General features: G+C 57.3%; 2 protein-coding genes across 5 annotated transcripts in view, besides 2 other annotated features; both read left to right on the top strand.

Annotated features, from left to right (window-relative positions):
* The window catches only part of CORO7 (coronin 7), a 62055-nt gene extending 45720 nt beyond the window's left edge, over nt 1–16335 (top strand). For all 4 annotated transcript variants that reach the window (NM_001201473.2, NM_001201472.2, NM_024535.5 and 1 more), the window contains 19 exons: nt 5332–5386; nt 5817–5874; nt 5957–6102; nt 6188–6280; nt 6464–6601; nt 8139–8265; nt 8717–8892; nt 9408–9516; nt 9629–9715; nt 9792–9934; nt 10329–10433; nt 10514–10599; nt 11256–11397; nt 11492–11581; nt 12394–12510; nt 12774–12909; nt 13618–13709; nt 15505–15591; nt 15714–16335. In NM_001201473.2, the coding sequence (NP_001188402.1) occupies nt 5332–5386; nt 5817–5874; nt 5957–6102; nt 6188–6280; nt 6464–6601; nt 8139–8265; nt 8717–8892; nt 9408–9516; nt 9629–9715; nt 9792–9934; nt 10329–10433; nt 10514–10599; nt 11256–11397; nt 11492–11581; nt 12394–12510; nt 12774–12909; nt 13618–13709; nt 15505–15591; nt 15714–15719 (1993 nt within the window). In that variant the 3' untranslated portion in view covers nt 15720–16335. The remainder of the gene's footprint in view (nt 1–5331; nt 5387–5816; nt 5875–5956; nt 6103–6187; nt 6281–6463; nt 6602–8138; nt 8266–8716; nt 8893–9407; nt 9517–9628; nt 9716–9791; nt 9935–10328; nt 10434–10513; nt 10600–11255; nt 11398–11491; nt 11582–12393; nt 12511–12773; nt 12910–13617; nt 13710–15504; nt 15592–15713) is intronic.
* Nucleotides 1–19461, top strand: part of CORO7-PAM16 (CORO7-PAM16 readthrough) — a 76346-nt gene that overhangs the window by 45720 nt on the left and 11165 nt on the right. Inside the window, exons 10-27 of the mRNA NM_001201479.2 lie at nt 5332–5386; nt 5817–5874; nt 5957–6102; nt 6188–6280; nt 6464–6601; nt 8139–8265; nt 8717–8892; nt 9408–9516; nt 9629–9715; nt 9792–9934; nt 10329–10433; nt 10514–10599; nt 11256–11397; nt 11492–11581; nt 12394–12510; nt 12774–12909; nt 13618–13709; nt 15505–15591. Coding sequence (NP_001188408.1) covers nt 5332–5386; nt 5817–5874; nt 5957–6102; nt 6188–6280; nt 6464–6601; nt 8139–8265; nt 8717–8892; nt 9408–9516; nt 9629–9715; nt 9792–9934; nt 10329–10433; nt 10514–10599; nt 11256–11397; nt 11492–11581; nt 12394–12510; nt 12774–12909; nt 13618–13709; nt 15505–15591 — 1987 coding nt within the window. The remainder of the gene's footprint in view (nt 1–5331; nt 5387–5816; nt 5875–5956; nt 6103–6187; nt 6281–6463; nt 6602–8138; nt 8266–8716; nt 8893–9407; nt 9517–9628; nt 9716–9791; nt 9935–10328; nt 10434–10513; nt 10600–11255; nt 11398–11491; nt 11582–12393; nt 12511–12773; nt 12910–13617; nt 13710–15504; nt 15592–19461) is intronic.
* Nucleotides 1224–1723: an enhancer, noted in NCBI's record as "H3K4me1 hESC enhancer chr16:4419155-4419654 (GRCh37/hg19 assembly coordinates)". NCBI's record gives its function as "activates a minimal SCP1, AML or CMV promoter by ChIP-STARR-seq in naive H9 embryonic stem cells {active_cell/tissue: H9 hESC(naive)}" and the evidence as "EXISTENCE:reporter gene assay evidence [ECO:0000049][PMID:30033119]".
* Nucleotides 5050–5550: an enhancer, noted in NCBI's record as "H3K4me1 hESC enhancer chr16:4415328-4415828 (GRCh37/hg19 assembly coordinates)". NCBI's record gives its function as "activates a minimal SCP1, AML or CMV promoter by ChIP-STARR-seq in primed H9 embryonic stem cells {active_cell/tissue: H9 hESC(primed)}" and the evidence as "EXISTENCE:reporter gene assay evidence [ECO:0000049][PMID:30033119]".

Genomic DNA, 19461 nt, shown 5'->3' with positions numbered 1-19461 from the left:
CCCCTCCAGCCCGGCCTGTAGCCAAGGCCCTTGGCTGGGCTAGCTCTAGTCTTTGGGGGGCCTGAAGGCTTATCCCTGGGAGGCTGGGCCACACCAGCTGGAGGGTTTCCTAGTCTCTGGAGGACTCAGTTATCTCCAGAAGGCAGGATGGCCTCTGTGTCTAGCCGTCAAGGGCTAAGCAGGGCCTGGCTGGGACAGTCACCTTCTGGACCTCCCGTCCACAGGGCCCTCTCCCCACAGGGCCCCTTTCCAGGGCTGGCAGGGCTCCACAACCCATACGTTTCTCGGTCTACATGGATTAGGGCATGGCTTGCGGACCTCTGTTCCTGGGTTGGGGCTGGCCTTTGGGTGCATTTAGTGCAGGCTTTATGGGAGTTTTTACAACTTTGAAGGCACTGCTAACATTGAAAAATCAGGTGGTTTCATATTAAAATGGGGCTTCCCAGCTTGCATTGAACAGGAACTCTCAGCTGGGGCTGAGTGGCGGTTGCTCCCTCTGCCAAAATGTGGGCTCATGGGTCACCCCAGTCCCCACCACTCCCTGCTGCCTCCTGCCAAGCTGTCCACTCACTTGAGTTTCCTGCCCGGCCCCAGAACCATCTGAGTTTCCAATCAGTGCTGTGCAGCCTCTTGTCGGACTGTTTCCCTGCCTCTTCCCTTGGCCCTGTGTCCTCTGAAGCCCTCAGAAGCATCCACAGATGCCCAGGGTCAGGGGTAAAGAGGGCTCCAAGAGCCTCCAGCCTGGCTTTCCTCAAGGAACAGGACCTCCTGATGTCCTTGAAGCTTCTCACCTCTGTGGCAGGTTCTTGTAGACGGAGAGACCCCATCTGCCTGGTGTTCACCCCCTGCCCCAATCCTGTGCCCTGGCCTTACACAGGTCCCCACTTACCCAGAGGCTCAAGGGAAGCTTTTAGGAGACCCCTCTCAGTTTATCCAACATTGCCTTGTATGGTTTCAAGGTGCCACCCGCCTTTAGAACCTGGTTACCAGCAGTCTGCACACAGCGGGGGAGCTAGGGGCTGTGGGGGTGGAGGGGGGTCAAAGGATCCTAACTAACTCTCCAGCCTGGGTGATAGGGACAGATCCAAGGGACCCAGCCTGCTTTGAACTGGCGCAATGGCAGAATGTCTGGGTTGGTGGGAAGGGGCCTGAGCGGGAGGGATGGGCTGGAGGGGAGGACAGAGGAGGAGCCTTGCAGCTGCTCCTTGTAGCAAGCACACCCTTGGTGCTTCCCCTCGGTGCTAATCACAGGAGTCCTGGGAGAGCTGGCGGGGCTTATCCGGAGGCTGAAACTGCTCGTGCCTCCCAGTTGGTACTGAGGTTGTCTTCTAGCTCCTGGGACCTGGCTGAGGGGCGGGGGCAGATCTGGGCTTTAGACCTTCTATAACTTTATGCCTGGGACAGACCCCTGGACCTGGGTCAGGGTCAGAGCCCTTCCCAGTGGCAGGCCCAGATTCCAGCAGGAGAGGTGCCGGCAATACCTCTTACCACCTCTGGCCCTCTGCCTGGCTGGGGCTCATGTACCATGTTCCAGACCCAGACCCAGCTTGGCTCTCTTCACACAGCCTGGGGTCAGGCCCATGCCAACACTTGGCCAACCTTTGGGGCTGGGTGCCATGACCCCATTTCTTGGCCCGTGCCACGGCAGACAGGATGCCCCTGCCTGGCAGAGTTGTCCAGATGGCTCTGCCTGAGGCAAGGAAGACTGGCCTGACCTGTCAGAGGAGCCAGCCCTGCCCTCCCTGACTTCCTGCCCACTCGGCCTCAGCTCCTGAGTCAGTGGCTGGCTGGCTGGGACGATGGAACGGGGGTGAGGGAGGCTGAGCACCAGGCCTCCTCAGGCAGTTGGCTCAGCGCACAGGTGAGCCTCTGATGCCATGAGGTGGCCCCAGGCCTGTTTCCCACCTCTCATAAGGGCAGCAGAGGGGCCACAGGAGACCTGCCTATCCTACTTGCCCTCAGCTTCTGTCCTGGCACCTGTTTCCACTCCTCCCAGCCTGTGCCCCCAGCAGCCAGTGTGATCCCTACTCTGTGCCAGTCTGGTCCTATCCTCTTTCTATTTTTATTTTTTTGAGATAGGGTCTTGCTGTGTTACCCAGGCTGATGTGATTTTTTTTTTTTTTTTTTTTGAGATGGAGTCTCACTCTGTTGCCAAGGCTGGAATGCAGTGGTGCAATCTTGGCCCACTGCAACCTCCGCCTCCCGGGTTCAAGTGATTCTCCTGCCTCAGCCTCCTGAGTAGCTGGGATTCCAGGTGCACGCCACCATGCTCAGCTCATTTTTGCATTTTTAGTAGAGACGAGTTTTCACCATGTTGGCCAGGCTGGTCTCAAACTCCTGACCCAAAGTGATCGGCCTCCCAAAGTGCTGGGATTACAGATGTGAGCCACCATGCCCAGCTGGCGATGCGATCTTGACTCACTGCAGCCTCAAACTCCTGGGCTCAAGTGACCCTCCTGCCTCAGCCAGCCGAGTAGCTGGACCACAGGTGTGCACTACCACAGCAGGCTAATTTTTAATTTTATTTTTTGAGATGGAGTCTCACTCTGTCACCCAGGCTGGAATGCATTGGTGCCATCTCGGCTCACTGCAAACTCCACCTGCCGGGTTCAAGTGGTTCTCCTGCCTCAGCCTCCCAATTAGCTGGGATTACAGATGCACACCACCACACTTGGCCAATTTTTGTATTTTTAGTAGAGACAGGGTTTCATCATGTTGGCCTGGCTGGTCTCAAACTGCTGACCTCCAGTGATCCACCCACCTCGGCCTCCCAAAGTGCTGGGATTACAGGCGTGAGCCAGCATACCTCGCTAATTTTTTAATTTTTAATTTTTTGAAGAGCCATGGTCTCATGATGTTGCCCAGGCTGGTCACAGTGTTGACCTACTGGGCTCAAGTGATTCTCCCACCTCAGCCTCCCAAAGTGCTGGCTGGGATCACAGACATGAGTCACTAGGCCTGGCCTAGCCTCTTTTGCTTGAAACGCACCGTCACCTTTTCATTGCTCGTCCACTGGAGGCAGAACTCCCCCTCCCCACATGCACCAGGCCCCTTCCCGTCTAGCCTCCACCTGCCCATCCTGAGCCTCAGCCCTCACCCACACTGTCCAGGCTGTCAGGCACATTGTCCATCTTGTTCCTCAAACAGGCCATGAACCCACCTGCCACAGGACCTTTGCACAGGTTGTGTTCTCTCTGAAACTCTCTTCCTGTGAGGTGTTTGATTTCTGCATGACCTTGGGATCGCAGGGATCACCCCTTCCCCCACTGCTGAGGCCCAGTCCCCCTGCTCTGTCACTGTGTGTCCTCGGTGAACCTTCCCTTCACATGTTTGTCTATGGGATTGTGTCTGTCTGCCTCTTGTGCTAGGCTGTGAGCACCTTGAGGACAGAGGCAGGGTCTGTTGCACTCATCTCTGGGCATACCTACATGCAGGTCGAGCCGAGGACCAGGCACAGACCAGCTCATCAAAGGAGTGAATGATTGTGAACGAATGAATGAGTGAAAGCCCTGTCAAAGCTGCTGAAGGGACTTGCTTCCAGCCCCAGTGGAGCCAGTGTCAGTGTGGAGGGCACTCCAGGTCACGCACCACCTTGGTCCCCTACCCTCCGCCTCCGCCTCCACCTCTACAAGCAGTGGTCAGGCCGGGATGCAAAGGGCATTGCTGAGCCCGGCTCACCCTGCTGGGCCCTCAGTAAGTAGGGGCCTGTGTTACTCACAGGTGACCAGCCCAAGGCACTCCAGGAAGTCATGGAGACACCCAGGGCCCCACCCAGCTTCCCAGCCACTCTGTGGCTCCTGGAAGTGTGGGGAGGGGAGGTGGGCAGGACTGCTTAGTGGTCGGCTGGCAGGAGGGGATGGGTGGACAGTGGAGGGCGGCTGGGCCCTTTGTCACCGCAGTGAGGGATAGAGGCAGCTGCCACAGCTGGGTGACCTCTGACCCTGGCAACACAGTGGGGACGGGGTCCTGTTTAAGGGTGTCAGTGTCTGGGTTGGGAGGGTCCAGGCCTGCAGGTCCCAGAAACAAGAAACCAAGACCAAGTGCAGTGGCTCATGCCTATAATCCTAGCACTTTGGGAGGCTAAGGTGGGAGTATCACTTGAGGCCAGGAGTTTGAGACCGGCCTCGGAAGCATAGTGAGACCTTGTTTCTACAAAAATAGAAGTAAAAATAGCCAGCCATGGTGGTGCACACCTGTAGTCCCAGCTACTCTGGAGGCTGAGTGGGAAGATTGCTTGAGCCCAGGAGGTTGAGGCTGCAGTGAGCAATGATTGTGCCACTGCACTCCAGCCTGGGTGACAGAGGGAGACCGTGTCTCTTAAAAAAAAAAAAAAAAAAAAAAGCAAAGATCAGGAGCAAGAAACACAGGAAGGCAACTGGGCATCTGGGCATCTGTCAGAGTCCTTCCAGGTCCCCATTCCCCTCAAAAGGCCCTGGAGTGGGAAGGCAGCTCTCACAGGGCTGAGGGGCTGTGCAGGGGTCTCTGAGGGGCCCCGGGAGGGAGGCATAAAGCCCGGCCAGTGACAGGCAGTTGGCCAAGGCTGAGCTGGACATAGAGTGGCAGGGGCTCTGGGGGCTTCCGGCCCGCCCACTCTATTCCCAGCTGCCACCCCGCCCTGCTCCTGCCTCGAGACCAGAGAAGGCCTGGGAGCATGCTGCTGGCAGGCTCGGCCGGGGCAGCAGGCCTGGGGTGTGCAGGGAAGCCCAGCGGCCGGAGGAGCCCCTTCTCCCGGGCACGTGGCTCAGATTTGGACACAGGAACTTTAACTCAGCATGGGGGGGTCTCTGAGCTTCCAAGATATCACTGAGGCACAGGAAACGTGGGGTAACTGAGTAGAGGGCCCCAAACCTTAGTGCAGATTCGGAACGGCAGGGCTGCCTGCACTGCTCCCGGATGCTGCCTGTCCACAGGCAGTGCCGAGTGGGGACGGGAGGCTCCTCGCCTCCGGCCTCACCTCTCCACCTTCCCTGGCAATGCTGGCCTGATGTCTAGGCTGTCGAAGGTGGGAGGGGCACAGAATGCATGTGGGGTCTTCTTGGAGGAAGAGCTGTGGCTGAGATCGGGCCCGAGTTCCCCTGTGCCCACTCCAGTCCTGGAGTGACGCAGGTGTGCAGGTGGAGGCCCTGGGGAGGAGCAGCTGGGGTGTGGGCGTGTGTTGGGCATGTGGGAAGCTCAGGAAGAGGAGGGGGTTCCTGGGGACCAGGCTGAACATGGCTGGATGGCCAAGCGGCTCCCAGTCACTGTGGTGCCTGTCCTGGGCTCCTACATGGGGTTACGAGTCTGGCAGCCCTCCCACTGCCCTGACCCGCCATCTTGCCCTCTCTTCCCCAGGTGTCTCGTGCCTCTGCTGGACCCTGACTCTGGGCTCCTGGTCCTGGCAGGAAAGGTGAGTGAGAAGCTGGGGCTCCCACCCACATCCACAGCCTGGAGTCCAGCCCCTGGCCTTCCCCAAGAGAGAGGAGGAACTCGAACAGGGCCTCTGTGTCTTCCCCTGTGCAGCCAAGGTGACTGTAGCTCTCCTAGAACACTGGCCTTCCTGAGAACAAGGCCGAGAATAGAGCAGTGTCAGCACACAGTCAGCACTCCATAAATACTGACGTACACCCCCGGTGCTCACCCCATGTGCAACGAGGCTGAGCAAGTGAGGTAGTCAGCCTAGGGCTCAGCTCAGCGCCCAGCATGTTGGGGAGCCCCATCTCCAGCCACTGTGGTTCTGTGGCTCAGGTCCTTGGGGACCTGTGGGGGAGCTGATGCCAGTCCTGGGCCCTCCCCAGGGGTTCAGTCAGCAAACGGGGCTCAGTTCAGACTCATTTCAGGGCGAGAGGCAGCTGTACTGTTACGAGGTGGTCCCGCAGCAGCCGGCGCTGAGCCCAGGTAAGCCTTGCTTCCTCGCCCCCATCCCCTACCCTCCCCTCCCCTGCCCATCCTGCCTGTTCCCCTATGGTGTCCTCAACAGTGACCCAGTGTGTCCTGGAGAGCGTGCTGCGTGGGGCTGCCCTTGTGCCCCGGCAGGCGCTGGCCGTCATGAGCTGCGAGGTACTCCGCGTCCTACAGCTGAGCGACACAGCCATCGTGCCCATCGGCTACCATGTGCCCCGCAAGGTGAGGGGGACTTGGGCGAGGGACTGCGGGGGCTGGGGAGTCGGGGGGCCTGGGCCTCACTAGCTGCCTGCTTGTCTGCGGCCAGGCTGTGGAGTTCCACGAGGACCTGTTCCCGGACACTGCCGGCTGTGTGCCTGCCACCGACCCCCATAGCTGGTGGGCTGGGGACAACCAGCAGGTAGGACCAGGGCTGGCTCACCTCTCCCAGCCTCCCCGAGTCCCTGGTAGCCCCGTGTGGCTGTGTGCCAACTCAGTCTGGCCTGCTGGGTGCCCCCCATCCCTACCCAGTTGACCCTCCCATGGGGGCCCTCCTGACCGGGCAGCCCATGCCCCCATCTCCCCACTGCCGGCCTCCATGCAGGTGCAGAAGGTCAGCCTCAACCCCGCCTGCCGGCCCCACCCGAGCTTCACTTCCTGTCTGGTGCCCCCTGCGGAGCCCCTCCCTGACACAGCCCAGCCTGCGGTGATGGAGACACCCGTGGGTGATGCAGACGCAAGCGTAAGTACCAGGGCCGCCCCCATCCTCCCTCAGCGACACTGCAGTGGCTGCCCTGAGTGTTCACCGGCTGAACGGCCTTTTTTTTTTTTTGAGACAGTGTCTCACTCTGTCACCCAAGCTAGAGTGCAGTGGCGCAACCTCGGCTCACTGCAACCTCCTCTTCCTAGGTTCAAGCGATTCTCCTGCCTCAGCCTCCCGAGTAGCTGGGATTACAGGCATGTGCCACCATGGCCGACTATATTTTAATTTATTTTTTGAGACAGAGTTTCGCTCTTATTGCCCAGGCTAGAGTACAATGGTGTGATCTCGGCTCACTGCAATCTCCGCCTCTTGGGTTCAAGTGATTCTCCTGCCTCAGCCTCCCGAGTAGGTGAGATTACAGGCACCCGCCACCATGCCTGGCTAATTTTTGTATTTTTAGTAGACATGGGGTTTCACCATGTTGGTCAGGCTGGTCTCGAACTCCTGACCTCAGGTGATCCACCCGCCTCGGCCTCCCAAAGTGCTGGGATTACAATCATGAGCCACTGCACCTGGCCTAATTTTTGTTTTTGTTTTTGTTTTTGAGATGAGTCTCGCCCTGTCGTCTAGGCTGGAGTGCAATGGTGCGATCTCGGCTCACTGCAACCTCCGCCTCCCAGTTTCAAGCAATTCTCCTGCCTGAGCCTCCTGAGTAGCTGGGATTACAGGCGTGCGCCACCACGCCTGGCTAATTTGTATCTTTAGTATCTTTAGTAGAGATGGGTTTTCACCATGTTGGCCAGGCTGGTCTTAAACTCCTAACCTCATGATCCACCTGCCTGGGCCTCCCAAAGTGCTGGGATTACAGGCGCGCACCACCACGCCTGGCTAATTGGTATCTTTAGTATCTTTAGTAGAGACGGGTTTTCACCATGTTGGCCAGGCTGGTCTTGAACTCCTAACCTCATGATCCACCCGCCTGGGCCTCCCAAAGTGCTGGGATTACAGGCGTGAGCCACCGCGCCTGGCCAATTTTTATATTTTTTTTAGTAGAGTCAGGCTTCACCATGTTGGCCATGCTGGCCTTGAACTCCTGACCTCGTGATCTGCCCTCCTCGGCCTCCCAAACTGCTGGGATTACAGCCTTGAGCCACCACGCCTGGCCCCAACCTTCTTTGTCAAGTGTAACAGAGACAGAGAAACACGTGGAGCATAAAGAAGGAACTTGCACAGTGCTTTCTAAATTGGGCAAACACTTAAAAAGCAAGAATTTTCATACAGATCTAGATTTCTGGCTTCTCTTAAAATACTGGCAGATCTAACCCACTGGGCACACCCTCCTGCAGGGCTGGGAGCCAGCAGCTGCCACTTGCTGTCCCCGCGGTCTGAAGCTCGGCTGCTTCCCTGTGTGTCTGCGTTTATGCCCGTGCCCCCCGCCGCTCCTGTCGCATGCCCACAGTGGGGGCTCCTCCAGTCCGCAGGGGGCCCAGAGTGGTGACCCTGGAGTCCGCTGGCACCCCCTCCTTTTGGCCAGTACACCTAGGAGCAGGCTGGCTGACCCCATGCCCCTCCCCAGGAGGGTTTCTCTTCCCCTCCCAGTTCGCTGACCTCGCCCTCCACGCCCTCCAGCCTGGGGCCCTCACTCTCCAGCACCAGTGGCATCGGGACCAGCCCCAGTTTGAGGTCGCTGCAGAGCCTGCTGGGTAAGGAGGCAGGACGGGGAGCTCACCCCTACCGCAGGAGCCCTGTCTGCCCCACTCCCCGTCATCCTCCTGTGTACCCTACTGCTGAGCACAGGCCTCATGCAGGGCACCCCCCTCACCCAGACTCACTGGCAGGGTCATTTGTCCTGGGGGCTGGGGTGTGGTGGCTGAGTCTCACCTGCAAAATAGGAGGGCGGCTGGGGCCACCAGCTTCTGAGCAGCCAAAGCCCTGGGCTCCACCAAGATTCCCCGAGCCACCATGGAACAGGGTATATCATTCCAGACATTATTCCTGGGCGAGTTGCATCCACTGGATTAGCAAAGGCCTGGGCCTAGGTCCATGCTGTACATCCACCTGGGGTGAGGGGAGTGGGCAGCCGGGACTCAAAGAGTGCAGGGCGGGCGGGGACGGCATCCTCACACGTGGTTCCATGTCCCTGCCACCTGCCAGGCCCCAGTTCCAAGTTCCGCCATGCTCAGGGCACTGTCCTGCACCGAGACAGCCACATCACCAACCTCAAGGGGCTCAACCTCACCACACCTGGTGAGAGTGACGGCTTCTGTGCCAACAAGCTGCGTGTGGCCGTGCCGCTGCTCAGCAGCGGGGGACAGGTGGCTGTGCTTGAGGTGAGGGCCCCACCCCACCAGGGCTGCCCCTCAGTTCCCTGCCTGTGGCAAAGACGCGGAGGGCCTTAGCTACCCACACAACACAGGGAGCACAAACCTTGTGTCAGGCTCCTGCCCGCCTGTCCTGTGATCCTCCCAGCCACCTGCCATGGGGCCTGCCACTTTTATCCCCATTTTACAGATGAGGGAGAAGAGGCACAGAGAGGTTTAGTGACCTGCCCGGGTCACACAGCTGTGTAAGTGGTGGAGCTGGGATCCGAAGCCCGGCCACCTGAGCCCTAAGCCGGAGCTTTTCCCGCCAGTTCACGCTGCTGCCCCCTCACTCTCTGGGGCCTTGTGGTTGGCACTTGGGGCTCAGAGCGCAAGGTGGTCAGGGCAGAGAGCTTGGGTCACCCAGCGGTGGGAGCCTCTGCTGCAGAGGGTGGGCTCCCAGACATGCTGCTTGCCCGCAGCCCCTGGGGACTGGCTTTTCTGCCTGGTACTGATGGGCCTCGGGGTGGGGGCACCTCCCACAGCTACGGAAGCCTGGCCGCCTGCCCGACACGGCACTGCCCACGCTGCAGAATGGGGCAGCTGTGACTGATCTGGCCTGGGACCCCTTTGACCCCCATCGCCTCGCTGTGGGTAAGGAGGCTGGGTGCCTGGGCTTGAGGGAGGGTCCTGGGTCCCGGATAGGGGCTGGGGAGCCCAGAGGTCTTGGGCTCAGCAATGATGAGCCCCTGTCTGTCCTCTGCAGCTGGTGAGGACGCCAGGATCCGACTGTGGCGGGTACCCGCAGAGGGCCTGGAAGAGGTGCTCACCACGCCAGAGACTGTGCTCACAGGTCAGGCAGGCTCAGGAATGGGGCTGGGGTGGCCAGTGTCTCCCAAGGGCTCCTGATCACCCCTGCCTTCCTCCAGGCCACACGGAGAAGATCTGCTCCCTGCGCTTCCACCCACTGGCAGCCAATGTGCTGGCCTCGTCCTCCTATGACCTCACTGTTCGCATCTGGGACCTTCAGGCTGGAGCTGATCGGCTGAAGCTGCAGGGCCACCAAGACCAGGTAGGACGGCTGCAGAGGTGGGGCCAGCAGTGTGGAGAGGCGGGGCCAGCAGTGTGGAGAGGTGGGGCCAGCAGTGAGGAGTGGCGGGGCCAGCAGTGAGGAGAGGCAGGACCAGCAGCGAGGAGGGGTGGGGCCAGCAGTGAGGAGAGGGGGGCCAGTGGTGAGGAGGGGCAGGGCCAGCGGTGAGGAGGGGCCGGGCTAGCATTGAGGAGAAGGGGGGCCAGCAGTGAGGAGAGGGGGGCCAGCAGTGAGGAGAGGCAAGACCAGCAGTGAGGAGAGGCGGGAACAGCAGTGAGGAGGGGCGGCGCCAGCAGTGAGGAGGGGCAGGAGCAGTGGGGAGAGGTGGGGCCAGCAGTGAAGCAAGGCTGTCTCTCATATCCCTTCCTGCCCCCAGATCTTCAGCCTGGCCTGGAGTCCTGATGGGCAGCAGCTGGCCACTGTCTGCAAGGATGGGCGTGTGCGGGTCTACAGGCCCCGGAGTGGCCCTGAGCCCCTGCAGGTGAGCACACAGGGGCTGGGGAGTGGCCTCAGACCTGGTTCAGGGGTGCTGGCTGGGTGTCACGCGATGTATCTCAACAGGAAGGCCCAGGGCCCAAGGGAGGACGCGGAGCTCGCATTGTCTGGGTATGTGATGGTCGCTGTCTGCTGGTGTCTGGCTTTGACAGGTGAGGACTCAGGCATCCCCATCCCCAGGCTTCAGAAGCCACCTGTGTCCCCCTTCTCCACAGTCACATACATTTGTCAGGCTTTCAGAAACCATTCCTGCCCCTCACTGGATGGTTGGGTGGGTGGGTAGATGATTGGATGAGTGGGTAGATGGGTGGATGGATAGGTGGGTGAATGGATGGATGGGTGGATGAATGAATGTGGGGATAGATGGGCGGATGGCTGGATGGATGAATGAGGGGGTAGGGAGAGATCGATGGATGAGTTGGGGGTAAGGGGGAGATGGATGCAGGGGAGGGTGAGGGGGGTAGGGGAGATGGAGGGATGTTTTGGGGGTAGTGGGGAGATGGATAGAGGGGTGGGTGAGGGGTTGGGGGGAGATAGATGCAGGGGTGCACAAGGGGCTCTGGGGGAGATGGAAGCAGGGGCGGTGAGGCAGTCAGGGGTAGATGGATGGGTGAGTGATTAGTGGAGGAGAAAGAGTCAATGGGGAACCCAGAGGTGGAGGGGCAGGTTAGGATGTGGCTGCGGTGCCGGGCCACACTAGGCCTCGCCTACAACCCAGAACAGAGCAGGGGCTACGTGGGCGCCTTCTCCCTGCCCCAGGCCCCTTCAGCTCTGAAACACCTGCTTCAGCCCCCAAACCCCCTTGCAGCCAAAGTGAGCGCCAGCTGCTCCTATATGAAGCTGAGGCCCTGGCCGGCGGACCCTTGGCAGTGTTGGGCCTGGACGTGGCTCCCTCAACCCTGCTGCCCAGCTACGACCCAGACACTGGCCTGGTGCTCCTGACCGGCAAGGTGGGCTGGGCTGGAGGGCGGGATGGCAGGTGAGAGGTGGTGGGGGGAAGGCCAGTGTTGCCGGAGGGTTCCCAGCCTGCCTTCTTCCCCGCAGGGCGACACCCGTGTATTCCTGTACGAGCTGCTCCCCGAGTCCCCTTTCTTCCTGGAGTGCAACAGCTTCACGTCGCCTGACCCCCACAAGGTGAGGCCACCCTGGCGCCTCGTCCCCGATGGGACCACAAGGCTGCCCTGCCCCCTGGTGGCCATGTGGGCAAGTACAGGAGCCTGTGGGTCGGGGGTCAGAGTCCTGGGCTGGGGCTGGGCCTGGGGCTGTGCCCAGTGACTGGCAAGAAGAGTTGCTGCTGGAATTATTTAGGAATTTTGAGAGCCATTGTCATACTCAACCATTATTAAAAATCATACTGTAGGCCGGGTACGGTGGCCTGGAATCCCAACACTTCGGAAGGCTGAGGCAGGAGAATTGCTTGAGCCCAGGAGTTCAAGACCAGCCTGGGCAACATAGCAAGACCCCATCTCTACAAAACAAACAAAAAATTGCACTAGATAAGGTTAAACTATATGAACCTACAATATGAACCTAAAAATAATATTAAAAACCAAAGTAATAAACACTCAGTTTATCACTTCTAATTAATTTATCCAATTTTACTATTATTTGTGCTGAGGTCACATGTTTCTGTGTTGGAGTGCATGGAGGAAATGCAGGATGATGTGCTATTTACATCTCTTCCCAACACCACATTCAGGGAGTGGAGGTGGCACGTAGAAGCTGCCCATGGTGGGAGTTTGTAAACTGTGGAAATAGGAAAACACCACAAATCAGGGCTTTCCCTCCAGAGAGCAGGTTGTTCAACATGATCAACACGTTACTGTCCAGGGACAGGCCCTAGGCATGGTGGTCCTAAGTGAGGGGTGCCGGCACCCTGGGGAGACTACGTGCCCAGCCATGAGCTCTAGGTCCCAGCGGCAGCTCCGACTCCCTTGCTCCCCCAGGGCCTCGTCCTCCTGCCTAAGACGGAGTGCGACGTGCGGGAAGTGGAGCTGATGCGGTGCCTGCGGCTGCGTCAGTCCTCCCTGGAGCCTGTGGCCTTCCGGCTGCCCCGAGTCCGGGTGAGGGTGGGGACCTGGGACTCCCATGCCCACCGCCTTCTCGGTGCCTAGAGGGGAGTTTGGGTCCCGTCTGACCCAGCTTCCAAACTTCCCTACCCATTGTTCATGGGGACACCTACCCCCTTCTGCTGAGATGCTGAAACTCATGGAAGCCCCAGGCTGGTGGGAGGGTCCCAGGTCTTGCCCTGTCCCTCCCCAACAGATGCCCGTGTGCCCTGGGCACCTGGTCAATGTCTCAGGACAGCCCGTTTCTCCCTCTGCAGAAAGAGTTCTTCCAGGATGACGTGTTCCCAGACACGGCTGTGATCTGGGAGCCTGTGCTCAGTGCCGAGGCCTGGCTGCAAGGCGCTAATGGGCAGCCCTGGCTTCTCAGCCTGCAGCCTCCTGACATGAGCCCAGGTGCACCGAGGGACTGGGTGTGGGGAGGAAGCGGGATGGGGGTTGGAGAAAGGGACAGAAGGCCCAGGTTGAAGTTCCATTCCTGTTGGCACGCAGAATCCTCTGGCCTTTGGGAGGGTGGAGTGGCTGTGTCAATCAGTCTCTGAGCCAGTGGAGGGCAGGGCTCGTGGTCTGTGTTTTCATCACAGGTCCCCACCCCTAACACACACACACACGCACACACTGTGGTGTCTAGGGCAGGGCTTATACAGTGAGGCTCCATTGACTGTTAATACCACCTCTTAGATCTGCGCCATAGAAATCCCCTAGGTCGGCCAGGCGCGGTGGCTCATGCCTGTAATCCCAGCACTTTAGGAGGCTGAGGCGAGTGGATCACCTGAGGTCGGGGGTTTGAGACCAGCCTGGCCAACATGGTGAAACCCCATCTCTACTAAAAATACAAAATTAGCCTGGCGTGGTGGGCGCCTGCAATCCCAACTACTCCAGAGGCTGAAGCAGGAGAATCGCTTGAACCCAGAGGAGGCGGAGGTTGCAGTCAGCCTAGGTCACATCATTGCACTCCAGCCTGGGCAACAAGAGCAAAACTCCATCTCAAAAAAAAAAAAAAAAAAAGAAAGAAAGAAAAGAAAGAAAGAAATCCCCGAGGGCTTGGCACCAAAGAGCCCTAACGAAGGGGACTCTCTGACACGTGTCCTTGCTCTGTCCCAGTGAGCCAAGCCCCCCGAGAGGCCCCTGCTCGTCGGGCCCCATCCTCAGCGCAGTACCTGGAAGAAAAGTCTGACCAGCAAAAGAAGGAGGAGGTAGGCATGGGAGAGAGCAGCTGTGCGGAGGTGACAGAGTCCTGGCTGCACCTGGCCACGGCCCCTTAGTTCTCCATCCCCAACCCAGACTGGGACAGCAGCCACATGTCACGTCCCCTTCACACCAGAGCCTGGTGGGGAGACCTTCCAGAGCCCTACCACTGACCATGGGGCCCGGGAAGTGGGGGAGGGCAGTGGGAGCCCTGCCCTGGCCAGGCCAAACCCAGCCTAAGCCGGCAGTTCTGGGCCCAAGTGCTTTTGGGACCTTGGAGTATATTTTGAGCACTTGAGGCCATGTGCAGAGATAGTAGCCCTTGTATCTGGTGCCACATGCCGCAGCCTCTCAGTCTCTTACTCCCCCTGTCTCTTCTTTGTGTCTTTTTCAATAGAAACCCATCGATTTTGTCAGGGCTGTAATTAAAATGGCTCTTTTGAGGCCGGGCACGGTGGTTCATGTCTGTAATCCTAACACTTTGGGAGCCCAAGGCAGGCGGATTGCTTGAGCTCAGGAGTTTGAGACCACCCTGGGCAACACGGTGAAACCCCGTCTGTACTAAAATACAAAAATTTAGCCGGGCATGGTGGCGGGCGCCTGTGATCCCAGCTACTCGGGAGACTGAGGCAGGAGAATCACTTGAACCCAGGAGGTGGAGATTGCAGTGAGCCGAAATCGTGCCACTGTACTCCAGCCTGGGTGACAGAGCGAGACTCCGTCTCAATAAATAAATAAATAAATAAAAATAAAAATAAAAATAAAATATAGTGGCTCTTTTGGCCAGGCATGGTGGTTCACACCTGTAATCCCAGCACTTTGGGAGACCAAAGCAAGAGGATATAAGTGATGGAGTTTGAGACCCAGCCTGAGACCAGTGAAACCCCATCTCTACAAAAAAATTTTTTAAATTAACCAGGTGTGGCCAGGCATGGTGGCTCACGCCTGTAATCCCAGCACTTTGGGAGGCCGAGGAGGGCGGATCACCTGAGGTTGGGAGTTCGACACCAGCCTGACCAACATGATGAAACCTCGTCTCTACTAAAAACACAAAATTAGCCGGGCATGGTGGCGCATACCTGTAATCCCAGCTACTTGGGAGGCTGAGGCAGGAGAATCGCTTGAACCCAGGAGGCAGAGGTTGTGGTGAGCCGAGATTGTGCCATTGCACTCCAGCCTAGGCAACAAGAACAAAACTCTGTCTCAAAAAAATAAATAAATAAAATAAAAATTAACCAGGTGTGGTGTTACACACTTGTAGTCCCAGCTACTTGGGAGGCTGAGGCAGGAGAATTGCTTGCACCCAGAAAGTCAAGGCTGCAGTGAGCCATGATTGCACCACTGCACTCCAGCCTTGGTGACAGAGCAAGACCTTGTCTCTCTCTAAAACAAACAAACAAACAAAAAGGCCGGGCGCTGTGGCTCACGCCTGTAATCCCAGCACCGTGGGAGGCCGAGGCGGGCGGATCACGAGGTCAGGAGATCGAGACCATCCTGGCTAACACGGTGAAACCCCCGTCTCTACTAAAAATACAAAAAATTAGCCGGGCATGGTGGTGGGCGCCTGTAATCCCAGCTCCTTGGGAGGCTGAGGCAGGACAGTGGTGTAAACCCGGGAGGCAGAGCTTGCAGTGAGCCGAGATCGCGCCACTGCACTCCATCCAGCCTGGGCGACAGAGCAAGACTCCGTCTAAAAAAAAAAAAAAAGTTCTTTTCACAGCCTTGTCAGGGTTGTTCTTGGAGTGGGAGAGGGAACAGGGAGTCCTATTCCCTTACCTACCCTTCTTCTGCCCTCTCTCCCAGCTGCTGAATGCCATGGTGGCAAAACTGGGGAACCGGGAGGACCCACTCCCCCAGGACTCCTTTGAAGGCGTGGACGAGGACGAGTGGGTGAGTAGTGAGTGGCCTCACTTCCCGGCAGGCAGCGCGGTCCCTCGCACATGCCACGGTGCATGCCTCCTCCCTTCCCAGGCCCTCCTGACTCCCTCCCACCTCTTGGTGTTTCGCCCCAGGACTAGCCTGCGCCCCCGTCACCTCCACCTCACCTGTGCTGCCACTTCCTAGTGCACACCTCACGGCTCATCCTCAAGCTGGAAGATACCTCTCTGGCCCCGGCACATGTCACCCCTGCACTCCTGCCTTCCCGTGGGCACTTCCACATCCTCTGGGCCTCTGGCAGTTCCCAGGGACTGTTTTCACCTCTGCTGTCTCTGGGGTCAGCTGCTGCTCATCAGCTGCCCGCTAGCATGTGGCCAGGGGTGCAGGGTGGCGGGGGGTCAGCAGCATGTCCCTGGGCAGGCCCTGGGCACCCTGTCTCCCCTGGTCTCACTGCTGACCTGGGCTGGTCCCAGCCTGGATTGGCCTCATCCAGGATCTTTGGTCACCCCACGCTGCCCCATCTTGCCTGCTGTTCCAGTTCTGGTCAAGGGCCTTGGGGGCTGGCCCCCCACCAGGCCTTCTAGAGCAGCACCAGTCTCAGGGCCCTGGGACCAGCTGCCCTACTTCCCAGGTTTGTAGCCAGGAGAAGGGGGCATCACAGAGCTGATGGTCCAATAAGGGGGGTGTGAGCCCCGCAGGGACTGGCCCGCACCTGCCTTGGATGTTTTCAGCAATTAAACTTTTTTAAGCTGGCCACCTCTTGTGCTGCTGTGGTCTCTGGGCTGGCTGGAAAGGGAAGGGGACAGGAATGTGGGTGACAGGGGTCTGGCCCTGGGCTCCCCTTTATCTCAGCCTCACTCTGGTCCCAAGGCCCAATCACCTGCGCACTGCTGGGAGTCATTCGCTCACCATGCAGGTTCCTGGCAGTGCTCTGGATGGCGGGATGCTATAAAGGACAGGAGAGATAAGGTCTTGCAAGGACCTTCAGCTTCTTACAGCCTCCTTATGCAGGGGAACCAGACTGCACACGAGCATATAGAGTGTGAAGACAGCAGTAAAGAAGAGAAACTGGCTGGGCACGGTGGCTCATGCCTATAATACTAGCACTTTGGGAGGCCAAGGTGGGAGGATCGTTTGAGGCCAGGAGTTCAAGACCAGCCTGGCCCACATGGTAAAACGCTGTCTCTACTAAAAATACAAAAAGTAGCCAGGTGTAGTGGTAAGCGCCTGTAATCCAAGCTACTTGGGAAGCTGAGGGAGGAGAATTGCTTGAACCCAGGAGTCAGAGGTTGCAGTGAGTCAAGATCCTGCCATTGCACTCCAGCCTGGGTGACAGAGCAAGACTCAGTCTCAAAAAACAAACAAACAAACAAAAAAACCTGTGGGACAGGAAGCAACTGGGATGCAGCGAGGCAGGGAATTCAGGGCCTGAGAAGGTGACTTTCAGCTAAGAGCCAAGACTTGAAGGCTGATGAGGAGCCAGCCAGGGAGAGAGCCACTTCCGAGGCAAGGAAGTACAATGTGGGCACAGAGAGAGGAATGTGGAGGCCAGGAGGAAGAGGAAGAAGGGCAGCGGTGTAGAGTAGGATTCCAGGTGGCCCAACTTTCATCCCACCATTTGCCGAATGCTGTGCGCCAGATGCTCTTCCAGGCGCTTGACATCTAACAGCAGAGAAGAGAGAGGAAATGCTTGCCCAAAAGGAACTCCCATTCTAGTGGAAGGAAACAGATTCTCAACAATAAACATAAAAATAAAGGGAGGCCAAGGTGGGAGGATTGCTTGAACCCAGGAGTTTGAGGTCAGACTGGGCAACATAGGGGAACCCTTGTCTCTACAAAGAATACAAACATTAGCTGGGCGCGGTGGCTCACGCCTGTAATCCGAGCACTTCGGGAGGCCAAGGCAGGCGGATCACGAGGTCAGGAGCACGAGACCATCCTGGCTAACACGGTGAAACCCCGTCTTTACTAAAAATACAAAAAATTAGCCGGACATGGTGGCCCATGCCTGTAGTCCCAGCTACTCAGGAGGCTGAGGCAAGAGAATCTCTTGAACCCAGGAAGCAGAGGTTGCAGTGAGCCGAGGTCATGCCACTGCACTCCAGGCTGGGCAACAGGGAGACGCTCTCAAAAAGACAAAAAACAAACATTAACCACATGTGTTGGCACATGCCTGTGGTCCCAGCTACTCAGAAAGCTGAGGTGAAAGTATCACTCAAGGCTGGAAGGTCAAGACTGCAGTGAGCCATGATCATGCTACTGTACTGCAGCCTGGGCAACAGAGTGAGACCCTATCTTGAAAAAAAAAAATTTTTTTTTGGCTGGGCACGGTGGCTTACACCTGTAATCCCAGCACTTTCGGAGGCTGAAGTGGGAGGATCACTTGAACCCAGGAGGTGGAGATCGCAGTGAGCCAAGATTGGGCCACTGCTCTCCAGCCTGGGTGACAGAGCAAGACTTCATCTCAAAAAAAAAAAAAAAAGGAAAAATAATTTAAAAATAAAAAACCGGTTGGGCACAGTGTCACATGCCTATAATCCCAGCACTTTGGGAGGCTGTGGCGGGTGGATCATTTGAGACCAGTAGTTCAAGACCAGCCTGGCCAACATGGTGAAACCCTGTCTCTACTAAAAATTCAAAAATTAATGGGGCATGGTGGTCCATGCCTGTAATCCCAGCTACTCAGGAGGCTAAAGCATGAGCATCGCCTGAACCTGGGAGGTGGAGGTTGCAGTGAGGCAGGATTGTGCCACTGGACTCCAGCCTGGGCGACAGGGTGAGACCCTGTCTCAAAATGATAAATAAAATAAATAAGTAAATTATGTGGTATGGTAGAGGGTGATCAGAGTCTTGGAAGAAAAATAGAGACAAGAAGGGAGGATAAGCCAGTCACAAAAGGCTGCACATTGTATGATTCAATTTCTTCTTTTTTTTCATTTTTCATTTTTACCTTTTTTTTTTTTTTTTTTTTTTTTGAGGCAGGGCCTGACTCTGTCACCCAGGCTGGAGTGCAGTGATCACAGCTCACTGCAGCCTGTACCTCCCGGGCTCAAGAGATCCACCACTCAGCCTCCCAAGTAGCTGGGATTACAGGCACCTGCCACCACACCCGGCTAATTTTTGTATTTGTAGAGATGGGGTTTCACCATGTTGCCCAGCCTGGCCTTGAGTTCCTGACCTCAAGCGATCCACCTCGGCCTCCCAAAGTTTTGAGATTGCAGGCATGAGCCACCACGCCTGGCTTGTATGATTCCATTTCTATGAAATGTCCGGAACCTGTGAATCCATAGAGAGAAAAATGAGTGGTTGACAGGGGCTGGGGGAGGGGGCTGGGGAGTGACTAATGGGTGATGAAAACGTTCTGGAACTAATAGTGGTGACAGTGGCACAGCTCTGTGAATAAAAGGCATTGGACTGTGCACTTGAAAATCATGAAATCTACAGTGTATGGATTATATCTCAATAAAGCTGTTACTTTTTTCATTCATGGAGGGCAAGTCACGGCGTTTTAAGGGGTCCAGGTGGGCCTCATTGAGGTGACATTTGAGCAAAGATTTGAAGAAGGGAACGAGCTTCTCAGGCAGGAGGAATGTGGATGAAACCTATTTTGAAGTTTTCTATTTTCTAAAGTATTTTTGAGAATTTAGCATCCTACTCCATATTATGTTCATTGATTTCATATAATGTTGCATTCCCAAATATTTTGGCAAAATCAAGGGCAGAAATCGCCCCACGTCTGACCGATGTGCTTAGCTGCTCCAGCGCACTGGGGTAAGCACGCGGGCAATTGAGACTCCCGGTAACGCCCCTTGCCCTCCCAAGCCCGCCCCCAGTTATCCAGAGCCCGACGCAGGCTCAGTCAAACCCCGCCTCCGACCCCGC

Source organism: Homo sapiens, chromosome 16 (assembly GCF_000001405.40).
Source record: "Homo sapiens chromosome 16, GRCh38.p14 Primary Assembly".
Classification (NCBI taxonomy): domain Eukaryota; kingdom Metazoa; phylum Chordata; class Mammalia; order Primates; family Hominidae; genus Homo; species Homo sapiens.
Note: the sequence above shows the minus strand (reverse complement) of the source record. Positions and strands in the feature narration are given on the sequence as shown.